Here is an 18,270-nt window from a genome sequence, read left to right as displayed (position 1 = left end):
AGATGTTTGTACATTTGCTTGTATCTTCTTCAGTTTCTTTCATTAGCGTTTTATAATTTTCCTTGCAGAGTTCCTTCATCTCCTGGGTTAAATTATTTCCAGGTGGTTTTGTTTGTTTGTTTGTTTGTTTGTTTGGCAGGGATTTTAACTGGGATTGCCTTCTTGATTTTGTTTTTTCAGCTAGTTCATTAGGTAAGGAATACTACTGATTCTTTTTTTTTAAATAAAGAGCTGTATGCATTTATTGCATTGGTAGTCAATAAGAATCCTTTGAGACGGCAACAATAGACACTGGGGACTTTCGGAAGGGGAAAGAAGAAGGAACAGAGGAAAAACTGTTGAAAAACTAACTACTGGGTACTATGCTCACTACCTGGAAGCTGGGATCAATCGTACCCCAAACTTCAGCATAATGCAATATAATCATGTTACAAACCTGTATGTGTACACCTGAATCTAAAATTAAAGTTGAATTTATTTTTAAAAAAATCCTTTGTTATTAAACAGTTTTGATCCTTGGGTCAAGGTCTTAGCATGCACATTGTTTATTTGGTTAATTCAAAGACATATATATAGGTGCCTAGAGTTTTGAGGCCTGGAAGAAGCCACTGCCACATATATTACAGTTATGGGGTTTCTCTTTAGTATGGCCGCTCTGAGGTAGATTAATGCTTAAACAAATGATTAAGGATTTACCAAACTCATTGCATTCAGAAGCTTTCTCTCAAGTGTAAGTTCTCTGATGTTGTGCATGGTGTAAATTTTGACTGAAGATCTTGCCACATTCATTGCAGTTGTAAGGTTTCTCTTCAGTATGGATTATCTGATGTCTGGTGAAGTCTGGTTGCCAAGACAAGGACTTATCACTTTCATTATATTTGTAAGGTTTCTCTCCCTTATGGATTACCTGATATTTAGTAATGCTTGAATGCTCACTAAAGGCACTGACACACTTATTACATTTGTAAGGTGTCTCTCCAGTATGGATGGAGGTATGACTACAGTAGACAAAATTTCCCACAGTCACTACATTTGTAAGGTTTCTCTCCAGATGGATTACATGATGTTTAGTATGGCTTGCACACTCAGTAAAGGCTTTGCCACAGTTACTACATCTGTAAGCCTTCTCTCCAGTGTGATTTCTCAGATGCCTTTCAAAGATATGAGATAACCAGAGACCTTGTCACATTCATTCTATTCATAAGGTTTCTCTCCAATATGGATTACCTGATGGTTAGTAAGGCTTGGACAATTTTTCCCTTCACCCATTGGTTGTCCAGGAGACTGCTGTTTAATTGCACAGTTTTTAATATTCCTCTTATTATTGATTTCTACTTTTATTCCATGGTGGTCAGGTAAGATACTTAGGATATGATTTTGATATTTTAAAATGTTTGAGGCTTGTTTTATGTCCTAACATATGGTCAATACTGGAAAATGTTCCATGTACTTCTGGAAAGAATATGTATTCTGCAGCTGTTGGGTGAAATGTTCCATAAATGCCTGCTAGGTCCAGTTGGTCTACAGTACAGTTTAAATCCAATGTTTCTTCGTTGATTTTCTGTCTACATGATCTGTCCAATGTTAAGAATGGAGTGTTGAAGTCTCCAACTATTACTGTATTGGGATCTATCTTTCCCTTTAGATCTAATAATATTTACTTTATATATCTGAGTGGTCCAGTGTTGGGTACACATATATATTCACAATTGTTATATGTTCTTGCCAAATTAATCCCTTATTGTATAATGTCTTTGTTTCTTTACCATTTTGTCTTGAAGTCTGTTTTGTCTTATGTAAGTATAGCTACTCCTGCTAGCTTTTGGTTGCTGTTTGTGGAAATGTCTTTTTCTATTCTTCACTTTCAGTCTATGTGTGTCTTTACAGCTGAAGTGAATTTACTGTCGGCAGTATACAGTTGAGTCTTGTTTTATTTAACCATTTGGCTAGTCTGTATCTTTTAAATGGGGAACTTAATCTGTTTACACACAGGATTATTACTGATAGGTGTGGACTTATTACTATCATTTTATTGATTGTTTTCTGGTTGTTTTCTATATTCATTGTTCCTTTCTTCATCTTTTAGTATTTGTGTAGGTGGATCTTTTCCTGTAAAGAAAAATTTGTTTGATTCCTTTCTATTTCTCTTTTCTGTATTGGTTCTACCAGTGAGTTTTATAGCTTCACATCCTTTCATGATGGTGGTTGTCATTTTTTCACTTTCAAATGTAAAACTCCCTTGAGTATCTCTTGTAGGCCTTGTCTAATGGTGATGAATTCCCTTAATTTTTGATTGTGAGACATTTTATTTCTCCTTCATTTCTGAAGGATAGTTTTGCTGGGTATAATATTCTTGGCTGGGCCGGGCGCAGTGGCTCACGCCTGTAATCCCAGCACTTTGGGAGGCCGAGGCGGACGGATCACAAGGTCAGGAGATCCAGACCATCCTGGCTAACATGGTGAAACCCCATCTCTACTGAAAATACAAAACATTAGCTGGGCTTGGTGGTGGGCACCTGTAGTCCCAGCTACTTGGGAGGCTGACGCAGGAGAATGGCATGAACCCAGGAGGCGGAGGTTGCAGTGAGCCGAGATCATGCCACTGCACTCCAGCCTGGGTGACAGAGCAAGACTCTGTCAAAAAACAACAAAAAACTATATATATATATATACACACACATATATATATATATATATATATACACATATATATATATACACATATATATATATACACACACACATATATATATATACACACACATATATATATATATACACATATATATATATATATACACACACATATATATATATATACACACATATATATATATATATTCTTGGCTAGCAGTTTTTTAAAATTTTCCTTTTCAGTATTTTGAATATATTATCCCATTCTCTCCTAGCCTGTATAGTTTCTGCTGAGAAATCTACTGTTAATCTGATAAGAATACCTTTATTTGTGAATTGACATTTTTCTTTTGCTGCTTTTAGAATCGACTTTGACTTCACAATTTGACTATACTGTGCCTAGGAGAGGACTTGTTTGGGATGAATCTACTTGGGGTTCTTCCAGCTTCCTGAACCTGGATGTGTCTCTCCAAATACTTGAGAAATTTTCAGCTATTATTTCATTAAATATGTTTTCTACATCTTTTCACTTCTTTTCTCCTTCCGGAATGCCCATAATGTGAATATTTGTTTGCTTCATGGTGTCCCATAAATCCTGTAGCTTTCTTCATTCTTTTTTTGGGGGGAGGGGGGGTCTGCCTGTGTTGCTTCAATCTCTTCAAGTTCAAAAATTCTTTTTTCTGCTTGGTGTAGGGTATTGTTAAAGGTCTCAACTGTATTTTTTATTTCATTCACTGAATTCTACAGCTGTAGGATTTCTGTTTGGTTCTTTATTACGATATCTATCTCATTATTAGATTTCTCATTCACTTAGCTGGGCATGGTGGCACATGCTTCTAGTCTCAGATACTCAGGAGGCTGAGGTGGGAGGATAGCTTGAGCCCAGAACTTCAAAGTTACAGTGAGCTATGCTCCAAACACTGCACTCCAGCCTGGGTGACAGAGTAAATAAAATCTTGTCTCTAAAAAAGACAAATAAAAATAAAATTTTCTCTATTCAAATTGTGAATTGTTTTCCTGATTTCACTGAATGTCCATCAGTATTCTGTATCTCACAGAGTTTACTTAAGATTATTATTCTGAATTCTTTTTCTGGCATTTTATGTACTTCCTTATGATTAGCCTCTGTTATTGGAAAATTATTGTGTTCCTTTTCATGGGTATTTATCTGTAGTTTTTTCATGTTTGATGTATCCCTACACTGATTTCCATTCATGTGGTAGAAAAGTCGCCTCTTCCAATTTTATGGAGGAGGTTTCACAGAGAAAAATTTACTCATATGAACAGGTGTTGGGGTGTCAGTTTGTTGAGTTCTAGGTGGACACAGTAGTGTAGTTTCTTCAGCTGTAATCCATACTAGTGACATATGCAAATGCCTCAGTGGCCTGGGCTGAGTTTGTGGTGGAGGTGGTGCAGTTTTGCTGGGTGTGGGCTCACTGGGCTGTTTCTCAGGTCAGAGGCATATACATACAAATGGTGGGTCCACCAACTTGGTGCATGGATTTGGGCTACAGGGCTCTTATTCTTGGCAGGAGGACATACACAGGGTTGCTCAGCCGGCCCGAGGACATGCCTGCAAGGAGCAGCCCACAGGGCTGTTACTTTTGCGAAAAACACAGGTGCACAGATGCCTGACTGGTCTAAAGACATGTCTGGTGAGGATGGCTTGGTCTCTCAGGCCCGAGATGTGGGCTCACAGTTGTTCAGCAGGCCTTGGAGTGTGGCTGCCAGTGGAGCGGCTTTTCAGACCCTGATTGTGGGTGCAGGGCTGTTGGGTAGACCAGGAGCTTATCTGTAGGGGGTAGGACACTGGAGGGCTGTGTACAAGCAGGCATATCTTGGTGTTCCTAATCCAGGGCAATGCAGCTGTGTGAATTCATGGTAGCTCTCCAAACTGGGTTCAGGGCTTTTGAGGACTGTGGGATTCTCCTGTAGTAAGGACTGTATGCGTTTGTGGTGGCAACAGGGGCTGGCTGGGTTATTCTGATTGCCTTTTCCCTGCAATGGGAAGTCTCTCTTGACTCCAGATTCAGTCCAGGTGGGGAAGACAGGACTGTAGATGCTAGATACCCTCATGCTGCCCTCCTGGATTTCTAATCATTTATAGGTGTGTCTCCATTCCCCAACCACACTCCAGCGCTCTCTCTGACATTCTAGTCAAATCCTATCTGTTTATTCATTGCCTCAGTCCTTTTTTGTAGAAGAAACAAGCACCAGGCATCTCTAGTCAGCCATCTTGCCAATGTCAGTCCTCAAATCTGCTTTCACTTAAACATACTTTAATTCAAAAGCAGAATAGCCTATTATGTTTTCCATTTCTGTTGTGCTTTCTTCATTCCTGAAGTTCAGCTTCCCTTTGGTGTCATCTGACTTCATTGTGAATAATTTCCTTAATAGTCTTACAGCAACTCTGTTGGCAATGAATTTTCTTCCTTTTCCTTCACCAGAAAATATCTATTTCACCTTCATTTCTGCAGGATATTTTCATGATATATAGGATTTTAAGTTGAAAGTTCCTTTTAAAAATGTTTTGCCACTTTCTTCTGATCTCCACAGGTTTTTTTCCCTTTTTTTTTAAAAAAAAAAAATAGTTTTTCTATTTGCTTTCTAATGAGAAATCTAGTCATTGTAATTATTGTTCTTCTATTGATGTGTCCCTTTCTTCAGTTACTTTCAAAATTTTTATTTTCTACATCTATATAGTTTTCAGAGATTGATTATGATGTGAGTTGAACCTGGGTTTATTGACTGGGTTAACTGACTCTTGTCATTTCTATCCGCTATTCAGCTCATTCAGCTGAATGTGTTTTATTTTGGTTATTGTCGTTTTCAGTTCCTAAATTTCCATTTTATAACTTTATTCTTTATATTTTCTAGCCCTTTGCTGGGAGTTTCTATTTTTCCTATCATTTCAAGAGTGTTTATAATTTGCTTCTTGGAGCATTTTTATAGTAGTGTGTTTGTCAGATAATTCCAACATCTATGTTATCTTGGGGCTGGTATCTGTTGATTGTCTCTTCCTATGGGAGTTAAGATATTCCTGGTTCTTCCTGTCAAGTGATTTTGTATTGTATCCTGAATATTTTGAATACAGTCGTCCCTTGGTATACATGGGGGATTGATTCCAGGATGCCGAGGTACACCAAAATCCATGTATATTCAGTTCTCAGTCAGTCCTGCAGAACTCGTGTATATGAAAAGTCAGCCCTCCACATATGTGGGTTTTGCATCCTGCACATAGTGTATTTTCCATCCACAAGTGGTTGAAAAAAATCCACATATAAGTGGACCTGTACACTTCAAACCTATGTCAACTGTATTATGAAACTCTGGGTATTCTAGAAATCCTTTGGAGAATGTTAATACCTTTGTTTTAGCATGCAATCAACACAGGTTCAAGCCACAGGTTCCAATGTGACTTCTGTGATCTGTGGCTACAACGTCAGCTCAGTTTTCAAAGCTTTTGCAATGTTATTTGGATCTGCCCTGTGCATCCCCCAGTGGTCAATCTGGGATCTGGTGGTGGTTTGTTGGTCCAGTTCTTAAAGGCTTTGGTACGCTCATTAGAATAAGATCCACATATGGCAAATGTATAGTTCAGGAGTAGGTCTAGGAGTTTAACACAATCACATGGGGTTGCTTTCCTGAGCTCCTCCCTCTCTGTCATCTTCCCAGTAATTTCTGGTTCCCTGGAGCTCCTCCTGGCCAGAAAGCTGGGGATTTAGCCCACTTTCCCACCCACGTCTGTGATTGCATCCAGGTCTAGAATCAAGCAGTAGGAAGAATGGGGGTAGGGGATGGAGGGTGGCAACCTCACCACCAGTTCAAGTAGTATTTTGAATTCTTATCTTCTTCCCCAATCTGTTTACTATTTACCTTTCAATGTCCTCAAATAGCTGCTCCATGCATCTGTTCAGGTTTTATAGTTGTATTCAGTGGGAGAGAAAATATGAAGTGTTTTTACTCCATCTTAACTGGAACTCTTTAATAGCCAGAATTCTGACAATTGGTTTCTGTTATATTATATACTGACTAGCCTTTGTTTAATAAAATGTAAGACTGCTTGCTCACCAACACCAGCAACAAACACCTTGCTCCAAAGAGACCAAACAGGTTTGGGAGGTTCTCTTTTAAGAATATGCTATTTCCTTTATGGCTAATGAAAAAGGCAGAAGCCTTCATTTCTCTTTTCACAGTCTCTATGATAGGAAGTAGAAGTCTCTAAAATTCAAGGTAGTGCCTTAGAAGGCAACTAAGCAACAGTAATTGAAGATTATTTTATTTCTGGTGTTAGGTACTCATCTCTTCATTTATAAGTATAACTCATGGTAGTACAGCCTTTAATCAAGACCCAAAAAACATTAAGAAATTACTTTGAAGATCACACAAGTTCTCAGAGGTAACGTTCAATAGACGTACTTCTTGATGCTAAGCACATAATTTTCAAGAATAAAAGGAAAATTAAAAACTATTGAAAACAGAAACCAAAAGATTAAGCAGAATCAGAGGTACTAGCTGAAGAATGAATAAACCAAGTTTCATATTAGCTAACAGCCTGGACAGGAACAGGGGCACATTTAACAGGAAGAACCAAATTTATCTAGATAGTTATGATATAGACAATATGGGAAATCAAAAAATGTTTTTCTTTCTCATGCTTAAGGAAAGTGTTAGTAGCAATGAAAATAATCACACCACCAAATAGGAATGTATGAAAAAATCTAAAGAAATTAGAGAAACAAAGTGTATCACACCAGGTTTTGAACTCAGGATAAAAGAACTAAGAATAATGTCCTGCTTAGATTTCACAATTAACGTTAAGTACACATAAAGGTAAAAACAAAACCCTAACACCAAACAATGGAAATGTTTTAAATAGTAAAAATTTAAATTGAATTAGATATACTTTGGAAAATTTCATGGATCAAACTCTAAAATTCTTAACAATGCTGATAATTACATCTGAATCATTACTTAAAAGATCAAGTTTACCAGGGAATGCAAGGTTAAATGCTAAAATAAACAAAACAAACAAACAGGAAAAAAAAACTACTAAACATTAACAGCTGAATCTTAAGTCAAGGGAACCAAAAAGCAAGTTGCAAATTTTTAAAAAATCACCAGTCCACCTTATCTTAACTTCAAGGATACCACAACCGAAATACAAGATCTTTTTTAAGCCCTCAAAGACAATTATTAGCAGTCATTCCACCAAATCAAACAGTTTAGAATCTATTTTTTTTTCTCCCAACCACTAAGGCTGGTTATTATGATACCAGGACACTGTCCAGAACATCTGAGATTCCTGGAATTTGATACGTAAACTGTGGTGCCTTGCTGGTCAACCCTACTCATCCATCCCTACCTTCCTGAAAAAAATGGTATATTCCTCATAATCTCAATTAGACACCTTCTCTCTTTAACTTAAACCAATAACATTTGATTTATAAATTGTGTAAAATATAAATGTGCTACAGTTATTCTATATTACAAAATTTTTTTTTCAGTTGTCATCCTTACACTCTTTTTTCTTCTCATTTTCTTTCCAGTCCTCTGGAAGGAAAGAAAGAACATATTCATGGTCTATCTCAAACCTAAATCTAAGAGCTCAATGACATCTATCTTAAATGTTCCTACAGTTAGTGTTTATAAACTACTGGTTTTTTCTTTTATGCCTCGCCTTCCCCTAAATTATGACAATCTTATAAGCAGAGCAGGAATCGTTAAGTTCATTTAAATATGAGGAAACAGAGGTAAGTTCAAAGAATTAAATCAAGCTCTTGATAATGGCAGCCTGAATCTAGAATCCAAGATACTTTACTTCCAGTTCAATGCTATTTTTTTTTTAAACAGGCATCTTTCTACTAAGAGAGTAATAAGTCTCTCAAAACACATAGATCCTACACATCAAAATAAAGTATGCACGCAATCTTCTTATGAATCTCTAATATTTTCTTTTCCATTTAAGGTATACCAGTAAAGAAATACTACCATTAAAGTTATCTTGTAAAAATATCCATGAAGGAAACCTAGTGAAGCTTTCATGGTTCCAAGAGAACCTAATGAATGATAATTGGATGATAAATGAACTATGACAGTTCAAGAGGCCAAATCTCAGATTCCCAAATCACAGTATTTTGACCATTTAGTTAGTGGGAAAATAAAAGTGATGACTTTTAAAGCCCCCCTTCTTTCTCATCCTAGATCAATGATTCTCAGTGTGATCTGCAGAGCAGCAGCAGCAATAGCAGCAACATCTGGTAATTTATTGGAAATCCCATTTTCAAGTCCTACCCTAGACCTACTACAGTATTATAAACTCTGGTTGTGGGACCTAGTAATCTGTATTTTAACAAGCTCTCCAGATAATTTTATGCATGTCAACGTTTGAGAACCACTGTCCTAGACTATCAATGCTTTGAAACCTTTCAATCTGTTTCTCTGCTGTCATACACAAGTTATTTATAACTTGTCATTTTAAGAATGTCTTCCTCTTGCTATATTAATTTGATTGCTAGAATGTACTTTTCATGACAAGTTTCATTTGTCCCTGTCCAGTACTCCATGAGTTTTGGCCATGTAGAACTTGCATGAAGTTTAAATACAAATTGATATAATTTAATAGTTTACCTATCACCTTTCATTGACTTCATATATTTTCAAATTTCATTTTAAAAATATACTGTGCTGTTCTCGTACCTAAATATTTTCTAATCAGTAATGAGCCTTATGATTCAGTATTTTATTTCTTGTACAATGTTTTATGAAGAATTGCACCAACAGTTTTTATAACCTATATTTTCTATAAACAAAAATCCCAAAAACTTTAGGATATAGGGCTTCTAATCTGGTCTACATTTTAATCATTTAGTATTTATTCTTTTTCCCAGTTCCTATAGGTTGCACTGTGAAGCAAATATACCAGGAGGTCTTGATTTCCTTTTTCTCCCTCACCATCCGATAATAAATCCAAGTGGAATGCTAGGAATTGGTAAAAAGAAAGTAAATGAATTCTTTGTCTCACTCTGCACAGATGCATTGAACTCACATTTCCCAAAGGAGAAAGAAGAAATTCAAAAGGAAATAAGGATCAGAAAATATATAACTATCAAATCAGAATGTTTCAACTGCAAAGTCAGACAAATAGCTCTACAAAATTCTGGACGATGTGCTAAGAAAAGAAAATACCGAGGGCCAGATTTTAATCTAGGACACATAACACACATCATAGAAGTTTGCAGCTGCATTAAATAAAGATATGCCTGCTTGTCTGAAGTTAGAGTTTAGCAATTAGTAACCTATTTATTAAAAAACAATTCAGCGGGCCACAGTGTCTCACTCCTGTAATCCCAGAACTTATGGAGGCTGAGGCAGAAGGATCACTTCAGGCCACAAGATCGAGATCAGCCTAGATAACACTGGGAGACCCCCACTTTCCAAAAAATTTAAAAAATTAGCCAGGTATGGTGGCATGTGCCTGTGGTCCCAACCACTTGGTAGGGTGAGGTAGGAGGAGCGCTTGAGCCCAGGAGGTCAAAGCTGCAGTGAGCTCAGATTGCGTCACTGCGCTCCAGCCTGGGTGACAGAGTGAGACCCTTCTCAAAAACAAAAACAAAAAAAACCAACTAAAACAAAACTTTCACAAAGAGATGGTAAAATGAAAGAATGCAGGTACTTACATTTTAGGAAAAGTATCTAGAAAAATCATAAACATTTCAGAATTTGAAAGGGCTAGTATAGAAAATATAAAGTTATAATAGCGAGAAAAAGAGAGAGGACGCTTATAATGTTTTTTCAGGCAACAGAGAAAGGGAAAGAAGACAGCCCGTAAGTTGAAAATAAAACGTTTGAATTACAGGAATATCCACAGACATATCAGCTGGTTTTCAAATAGACAGAAAACCTGTCAGGTTAATAAGAACACTATGCAGCAGGAACTTCTTCAATGGAATAAGACTAGGCTGGAGGCCAACCCAAAGGCAGTCTGTTTTTAAGAGCCAAAAGAGAATGACAAAATTGGTAGAAGTCGATAGGAAGAATGAAAAGAAATTATTTGATGCTTTTATAAAAACCTGTCCATTTTAACACAATTTGTCCTTACATGTGGAATGCAAAGATGAACAGCCTCTAAAACTTTATTAGAGGAAAGAAAAACTACAGGAGAAATGATCCAGGCGTAGTGGCTCATGCCTGTAATCCCAGCACTTTGGGAGGCCGAGGCAGGAGGATCACCTGACGTCGGGAGTTCAAAACTAGCCTGACCAACATGGAGAAACCCCATCTCCACTAAAAATACAAAATTAGCCAGGCATGGTGGCACATGCCTGTAATCTCAGCTACTCAGGAGGCTGAGGCAGGAGAATCTCTTGAACCTGGGAGGCAGAGGTTGCAGTGAGCCGAGATCGTGCCATTGCACTCCAGCCTGGGCAACAAGAGCGAAATTCCGTCTCCCAAAAAAAAAAAAAAAAAAAAAAATTCTAGTTCTTTTTTTCTGAGACAGAGTCTCACTCTGTCACCCAGGCTGGAGTCAGTCCAGTGGCACCATGTCGGCTCACTGCAACCTCTGCCACTCAGATTCAAGTGATTCTCATGTCTCAGACTCCTGAGTAACTGGGATTACAGGTGTGCACCACCACACTCAGCTAATTTTTTGTATTTTTAGTAGAGACAGGGTTTCATCATGTTGCCCAGGCTGGTCTCGAACTCCTAAGCTCAGATGATTCACCCATCTCAGCCTCCCAAAGTGCTAGGATTACAGGTGTAAGCCACTACACCTGGCTTAAGAATTCTAGTCCTTAACAGTTGAAAGCAAATATGGATAAGATTAGGAATGAAGGGGATTCAGATTGTGATTTAATATTTATATGAGAAATATCACTGCTGAAACATTTCTCAGCATAAATAAAGCCTACAGCTTCTGTAAACAGTTCTTCGAAGTTCTGCATTTATAAGATAGCCAGTAATCTTTTTTTCTATGACAAGCCTGGTAGGTAGGTTTGAAAGGGAAAACAGATCAGTTCTAAATCAAGCAAGCATAAGGCATCTGTGCTAAATAAAAAATTCATGAGTGAACAAAGAAAACTTCTCAGACAGCCAAATACCAAAAATTCACAACCCAAAGCATCACAGTTTATACCAGCATGATAGTGATTAGTGCATCCTAAATGCTAACCTCACAAATTACCATCAAGCAAGCAATCCAACTCCCTATTAAGATATGGTTAGCCAGGCACAGTTGCTCACGCCTGTAATTCCAGCACTTTGGGAGGCTGAAGCGGGTAGATCACCTGAGGTCAGGAGTTTGAGACCAGCCTGGCCAACATAGTGAAACCCCATCTCTACTAAAAATACAAAAATTAGCTGGATGCGGTGGTACGCGCCTGTAATCCCAGCTACTCGGGAGGCTGAGGCTGGAGAATCGCTTGAACCTGGGAGGTGGAGGCTGCCTGAGCTGAGATCATGCCACTGCACTCCAGCCTGGGCGACAGAGTGAGACTCCATCTCAAAAAAAAAAAAAAAAAGAAAGAAAGAAAGAAAAGAAAAAAGATATGGTCAATATTTATGCAATCAAACAATATACACTACCACTGTGTATTTGATTCTGAACTACAGCCCCTTAGAACACTCAAGTTATTAAGAACTCTAGGGGGCAGGAGAATGACAAAAATGACAATATTTGACTTTCACCAAACATTTGCAAAACAGAGTGGCTCTGTTCTTGGAAAGAGGCCAATGTATTTGATTCATTTTTTTGATCAAAGAGGATTTATGATAGGAAGCAACCAGAAAACTTTCAAAATATTTTGGAAAGAAGTTATACTGAATTCCTTTAACCTTGTTTGGAAAAAGAAATAAATGGAGGTGCAAAGGAAGAGAAAAACACAGGTTTGCTACCACCTGTTCTCATTAACAGAGGCATTTTTTTGGTACATTTCCTCTCACAGATTTCTTTGAAAAATGTTGTCTACCTATTCATCCCTTACGGAATTATTAAACAACATACTAAAATAAAATGCAAACAAAAACAAAACATCCCATACAAAGCTGAAGGAAGAATTAATCTAAGATTCAGATGCTTATGAAGGTTTATGAAGGAAGAACAGACAGGGTAAGGTTAAAAGGGTAAGCTTTCTGTTGCACATTTTCCAAAAAGGGAATGCAATTAGAAGATAAGCATCTAGTCAGTCCTTAATTAAAACAAGGTGGGATACCCATGATTCAGAGCAACAGTAGGTTGCCCATCCCTAAATAATCTATCCTCATGCCAGGTTTGCTTAAAGAGAATTATAGGTACAGTTCTCATACTAATAATTTTAGATACATTTTCCACTGGAAAGACATCAGTATAAGGAATATCTTGTTGCTGAAAATAAAATGTTTCTGCTCTCAACTTTTTTTTTAAAGTGTTCTCCCTTTCCATCGTTCCCTGTCCCAATCCTGAAATCCCTCCACCCAGAGTTCATGTATTTTCCTTCTCTATGTTAATGAAAACACACCACATTGATTGTAAGAATCTTACTAGATTTCCACTTGTTTTGCCTCAATTCCTACATTAATCCAAACAATAAGGGCCTTTAAAACGTTCATAAATAACCTGCTGCTGCTGGCACCTAGGAGCCAACTGCAGCAATGTTAAGCAACAACAAATTTCATAGTTCAAGAGGCACAGTTAAGGGAAAAGGTTGCTCAGAAAATCACTCTTATTTAGCACAAAGATCCTTAAAAATTGCATGAAATCAGTGAAGTAACTATAGAAACCAATTTCTTCAGCTCCATATCACACGTCTCACACCTCAATTGTCTTTATTATCATCTGCTGTCAGATCCTTAATCAGAAATGTGAACAGGCTTGATGATTTATTCAGGAGGGAAAAGAATCTGTAGGTCAAGTGAAAAATTTCACACACACACCCATACACACACTGCACCTTCAACCTTAGGTACTTTCATTTCATTCTGTTCTCAGCAGCTCTGGGGGCAACTCCAGTGAGATCCAATATTAAGGCTCAATTAAAATAAGCTCCAATTAGTGGAGCTTTTTTCTCTGGGGCTAGAAAAGTCAGGAAATGGATATTGGGAAATGTAAAAAGTCAGCTACTGAGAGGAGGCTGCAGACATAAATGAACTTATTTGTTGATTTCTACAGTTGCTATGCAGAGGCCTCTGGGAGTAAAAGCTTAACCAGTCTAAGCTATAAACTAAAACCCCTGCAGCTAAACATGAACTGTGTGAAACAAGGGCTCCATTCCAGAACAGAAAACTGCTGGGCCCAGAAAATTAAAAGCCAGAGGCATTTTCCATTTAAAACTAAATCCCAGCACCGCCTCCCAGCCAAAGAATTATAAGCAGTATCAGATTTACAAAACGAACAATTACCCTGGAAAAATGTAGCCTATTGTACAGTCCCAGATGCTAAATCTCAAAAGTTTCTTTTTTTTTAAAATCTCACATTATATTCCTCCAAGTATGCTGCTGTAGTTTACAAAGACCCATTTCGAGACAGGCCTAAGCCTTGAAAATAAATTTTAAAAAGAGAGCACATAACTCATTGACCTCATTTGAAGTACTGCCCTTGCCTTTAGCAGTTCCTGTCCTTCCCCAAGGCTTCTGCAAATGGTATGCAACAGCAAAATAAACCCTGACCTAATTGCCAGGAGAGAGCTGCCAACCTTCCCTCAAACACAAAGACAAGCATGGTAACTTGAAAGTCCTACCTCTTTGGCTTTCTGCTTTAATCTCAGCTGTTCTGGATCTTCTTTATTAGAACGACTCTATCAAAGGAAAAGAAAATTTTAATAGAAATTACTAGCATCTGAACACCATAGTTGCCATTAAATATTTAATAAATGACAATTTTCTCTTGTGATTGAATATCTTAGCTCCAGGGGAAAATACCTCAATCCAGTCTAGCTGCACTCCCACCCTGGTTTCCCCTGCCCCCTCATCATCTGGGCTGGCTGCTGCAGTTCTAGCCTGGAGGAAGCTTATACTGAAAATGATGCTAACGATGTCAGTCAGGTCCAGTTGAGGCATGACGTTGTTCTTGTAGGAACACTGAAAACTAAAAAATTGGTGGTACAGATGAAGGAAAAGAAAAAAAGAGTAATTGTTGGTTTAAATGAATAAAAACAATCAATACTGGCTGATCTTCAGGTGAAGCCATTTGGGAAAACATAGGTATTTCGAGGACTATTAAAATCAAGAACCTGACTAACCTTGAACCAAATCTCTCTTTAAAGGTATAATTTCTAAAATTATAAGTAGAAAATACATCTCAGTATTTTAATTAGAATGTCTTATCATCTTTGGGTCCTCTATAGCACTTAATAGAATGCTGTGCACCATGTTCAATAATTGTTTATTGGATGTCGCCTTCCATAATACAGAACTGGCATAAGAAGAGAGCTGTTTTCTATGTATCAAGCTATGATGGAACAAAGGGTAGGGAACTTTATTTCTGACACCATGAATATCTGTCCACTGGAAAACATGTTTGGGATACGTATATCCTTTTTTCTCACCATGACAAAGTTATTTAATTGCTTATAAATCTGAGTATTTGTTCCATAAAATGAAACCTTCGTTAACTAAGGTAATATCTAGATAGCTAACTAAATAAAAGCTAAAAGTATTTTCATATTTAATAAGTTTACCTGATACATTTATTGATTTACCAGAACCTTTGGTTAAAGGAAAATATAAGAGATAGTCTTTAAATTTGAGTGCCTACTAATTTCAAACATCTTAAATATCTACACAAAATTCAACCCAAAGCTGGTAAAATTTTTCTTCATTTTAGTCCCCAATCTACTAACAAAATTTCATTTCAAGCGAAAAGATAAACTCTTTTGTTACTCTAGTTATAGTATCACCAGAGAATGAGTCTGTGTATATATGTATTTATATTAAAATATGCATTATATATATATACATATATATGTGGGTGTGTATATAATATTTTGCCCCAATATAAAATGGGCACATTTCAGTATCAAGTCTTTGTCAGTCACCCAATATTTATTGGTCATCCATAGTACAGATTCTACTCTGTGTGCTACTGTTCTAGCCTTTGGAGACAGATGATATAAGGAGACAAAGTAATTGTAGTAACTCAAGTAACTTACATTTTAAGAAGAGAAAAATAAAAAATTTTATAAAAATGAAACACATTTATGATATGTAAAATATTAGTGATGGGTAAAAATACAAAACAAATAATTGCTGACACTGTTAAGTGCTATAAAAGGAAATTAAATAGGCTAGAGGCAGTGGCTCACACCTGTAATCCCAGTACTTTGGGAGGCCAAGGTGGGAGAATTATTTGAGCTCAAGTTCGAGACCAGCCTATCTAATGCAGCAAGACCCCATTTCTACTAAAAATTTAAAAAATTAGCCAGGCATAGTGACACGTGCCTATAGTCCCAGCTACTCAGCAAGCTGAGGTGGGTGGGTAGACAGCTTGAGCCTGGGAGATCAAGGCCTGTAGAGAGCTATTATCATGCCACTGCACTCCAGCCTGGGCAACTGAATGAGACCCTGTTTCAAAATAAAATAAATTTAATTTGGGCATGGTGGCATGCACCTGTAGTCCCAACTACTTGGGAGGCTGAGACCTAAGAATCGTTTGAACCTGGGAGGCAGAGGTTGCAGTGAGCTGAGATGGGGCCACTGCACTCCAGCCTGGGCAACACAGCAAGACCCTGTCTCCAAAAAAAATAATAATAATAACAATTTAAAAATAAAATATATATAATTTAAAAATTAAATTAAAAACAAAAATAAAGAAAATAAATAGAATAATGTGATAGAGAAGTGTGGTGTGTACTTCTGTAGCTAGGATAGTAGGGAAGACATCTCTGAGAAGTGATATTTGAGTAGATATCTAAACAACAAAAAAGATGTAGTCATGCAAAGATCTGGAGGAAAACATTCCAAGCAGAAGGGACAGTAATTGCTAAAGCCTTAAAATGGGAATATACTCGAGGAAAGAACGATGGTCCATGTGGTTGAAGCATAGAAAAAAGGTGAAAGAGAAAGGCTGGAGATCATGTGTTGCCTTGTAGGCCATGATAAGGAATTGGGGCTTTAATTCCAGCTATAAAAACAATCCACTGGGCTGGGCACGGTGGCTCACGCCTGTAATCCCAGCACTTTGGGATGCTGAGGTGGGTGGATCACCAAAGGTCAGGAGAGTTCGAGACCACCCTGGCCAACATGGTGAAACCCCGTCTCTACTAATAATGCAAAAAGTAGCCAGGCATGGTGGCGGGCACCTGTAATCCCAGCTACTTAGGAGGCTGAGGCAGGAGAAATGCTTGAACTTGGGAGGCGGAAGTTGCAGTGAGCCGAGACCACCCCATTGCACTCCAGCCTGGGCAACAACAAAACTCCGTCTCAAAAACAATAACAACAACAAAAATCCACTGGCGTGTTTGGAGCACAGGGGTGAGATGTCACTGATGTAACACTTTAAAAAAAACAAAACAAAACAAAACAAAAGGCTCTGGCCACTCTGTAGAGGGTGCACTGTAGGGATCCAAGATTGAACGGAAAGGCACGCAGAGCAATTTGTAGACTGCTCTAAAACAACTGTTGTGAAGAAGAGACTGACTGGAAAGAAGATAAGGGAAGCGTGGACTAGCATCAAAGCACAGAAGATGATAAATGGTTGCATTCAAAACATATCTTTGCAGGTAAAGTTGATCAGATTTGCTGCCGGGCTGGTTGTCAGTTATGAAGTAAAGAGAGGAATCAAGGATGACTCCTGGGATTTTGTCCCAAGCATCTTGGAGGATGGTAATTGCAACTTTCTAAGAGAGTAGAGATCTAAGAAAAAGCAGACTTAGGGGAAGGGAACTCAATGGTCAGTTCAAGATGCCTAGTTAGAAGTCTAATATCCTAAGTTGGGCACATTCAAGGAACAGAAAGGTCAGTGTGCCTGGAGCGAGTAGTTGACAAGGCAAGCTCAGAGAGGTAGGTGGGTGCCAAACAATATAAGGCCTTTTAAAATTTGGTAAGAAGTTTACATTTAAGTGCAACAGGAAGCCACTGGAGGCTTTTAGGCAAAAGAGACACACATGATTTGTTATAAAAACATTATTCTGACCACAGTAGGAGAAATAGAGGAATGGACTGTAGAAGGAAAAGAAGGCTACTTAGAAGTTAGTATGAAAGTCCAAGTGAAAGATGAATTAGACTAGAGTAATGACAATAGTGATGAAGAAAAGTTGGGTGCATTTTAGAAATAAGATAGGAGGTGGTTTGGATGTGGAGAGAGAGGAGACACAGAATGGAGTTAAAGATGATGCCTATGTTTTTCAGCTTGAACATCTGGGAAGATGGTGGTGTAATTTATTGAGTCAAGAAAATCTATAAGAGTAAAAGGTATTTAGAGGGGAGAGGAATAACAGGAGCTGTTTTGGACATATTGATTTTGAAATAACTATTAGCCAGTGAAGTCATGTCAAGTAGGGAGTTAATGGTATGAGTCCAGATTTTCATAATGCAGGCTGAAATGGAGATACAAACTTAAAAGGGAATGAAGACAGAGAAGGTGGCATAGGATTCAAAACTACTAAATCCAACATTTAGACATCTGGTAAAGAAGGAAAAGCCAAAGGAGATAAAGAGCAAGTA

At 37.7% G+C, this 18,270-nt stretch overlaps 1 protein-coding gene and 1 pseudogene across 4 annotated transcripts in view, besides 1 other annotated feature; both read right to left on the bottom strand.

Annotated features, from left to right (window-relative positions):
- Nucleotides 1-18,270, bottom strand: part of TAF4B (TATA-box binding protein associated factor 4b) — a 165,241-nt gene that overhangs the window by 42,106 nt on the left and 104,865 nt on the right. For all 4 annotated transcript variants that reach the window (NR_121653.2, NM_001293725.2, XM_024451239.2 and 1 more), the window contains one exon: nt 14,349-14,405. Coding sequence is in view for 3 of the 4 variants with exons in the window: in NM_001293725.2 (NP_001280654.1) it covers nt 14,349-14,405 (57 nt within the window). In the remaining variant the exon portion in view is untranslated. The remainder of the gene's footprint in view (nt 1-14,348; nt 14,406-18,270) is intronic.
- On the bottom strand, nt 502-1,245 carry LOC100419894 (zinc finger protein 347 pseudogene; annotated as a pseudogene).
- Nucleotides 10,937-11,131: a silencer, noted in NCBI's record as "fragment chr18:23918413-23918607 (GRCh37/hg19 assembly coordinates)". NCBI's record gives its function as "represses an EF-1alpha promoter that drives an FKBP-Casp9 reporter gene in an ReSE screen in K562 erythroleukemia cells {active_cell/tissue: K562}" and the evidence as "EXISTENCE:reporter gene assay evidence [ECO:0000049][PMID:32094911]".

This window comes from Homo sapiens, chromosome 18, assembly GCF_000001405.40.
Source record: "Homo sapiens chromosome 18, GRCh38.p14 Primary Assembly".
Lineage (NCBI taxonomy): Eukaryota > Metazoa > Chordata > Mammalia > Primates > Hominidae > Homo > Homo sapiens.
The sequence above is the reverse complement of the archived record's forward strand: the minus strand, read 5'-3'. Positions and strand labels throughout refer to the sequence as shown.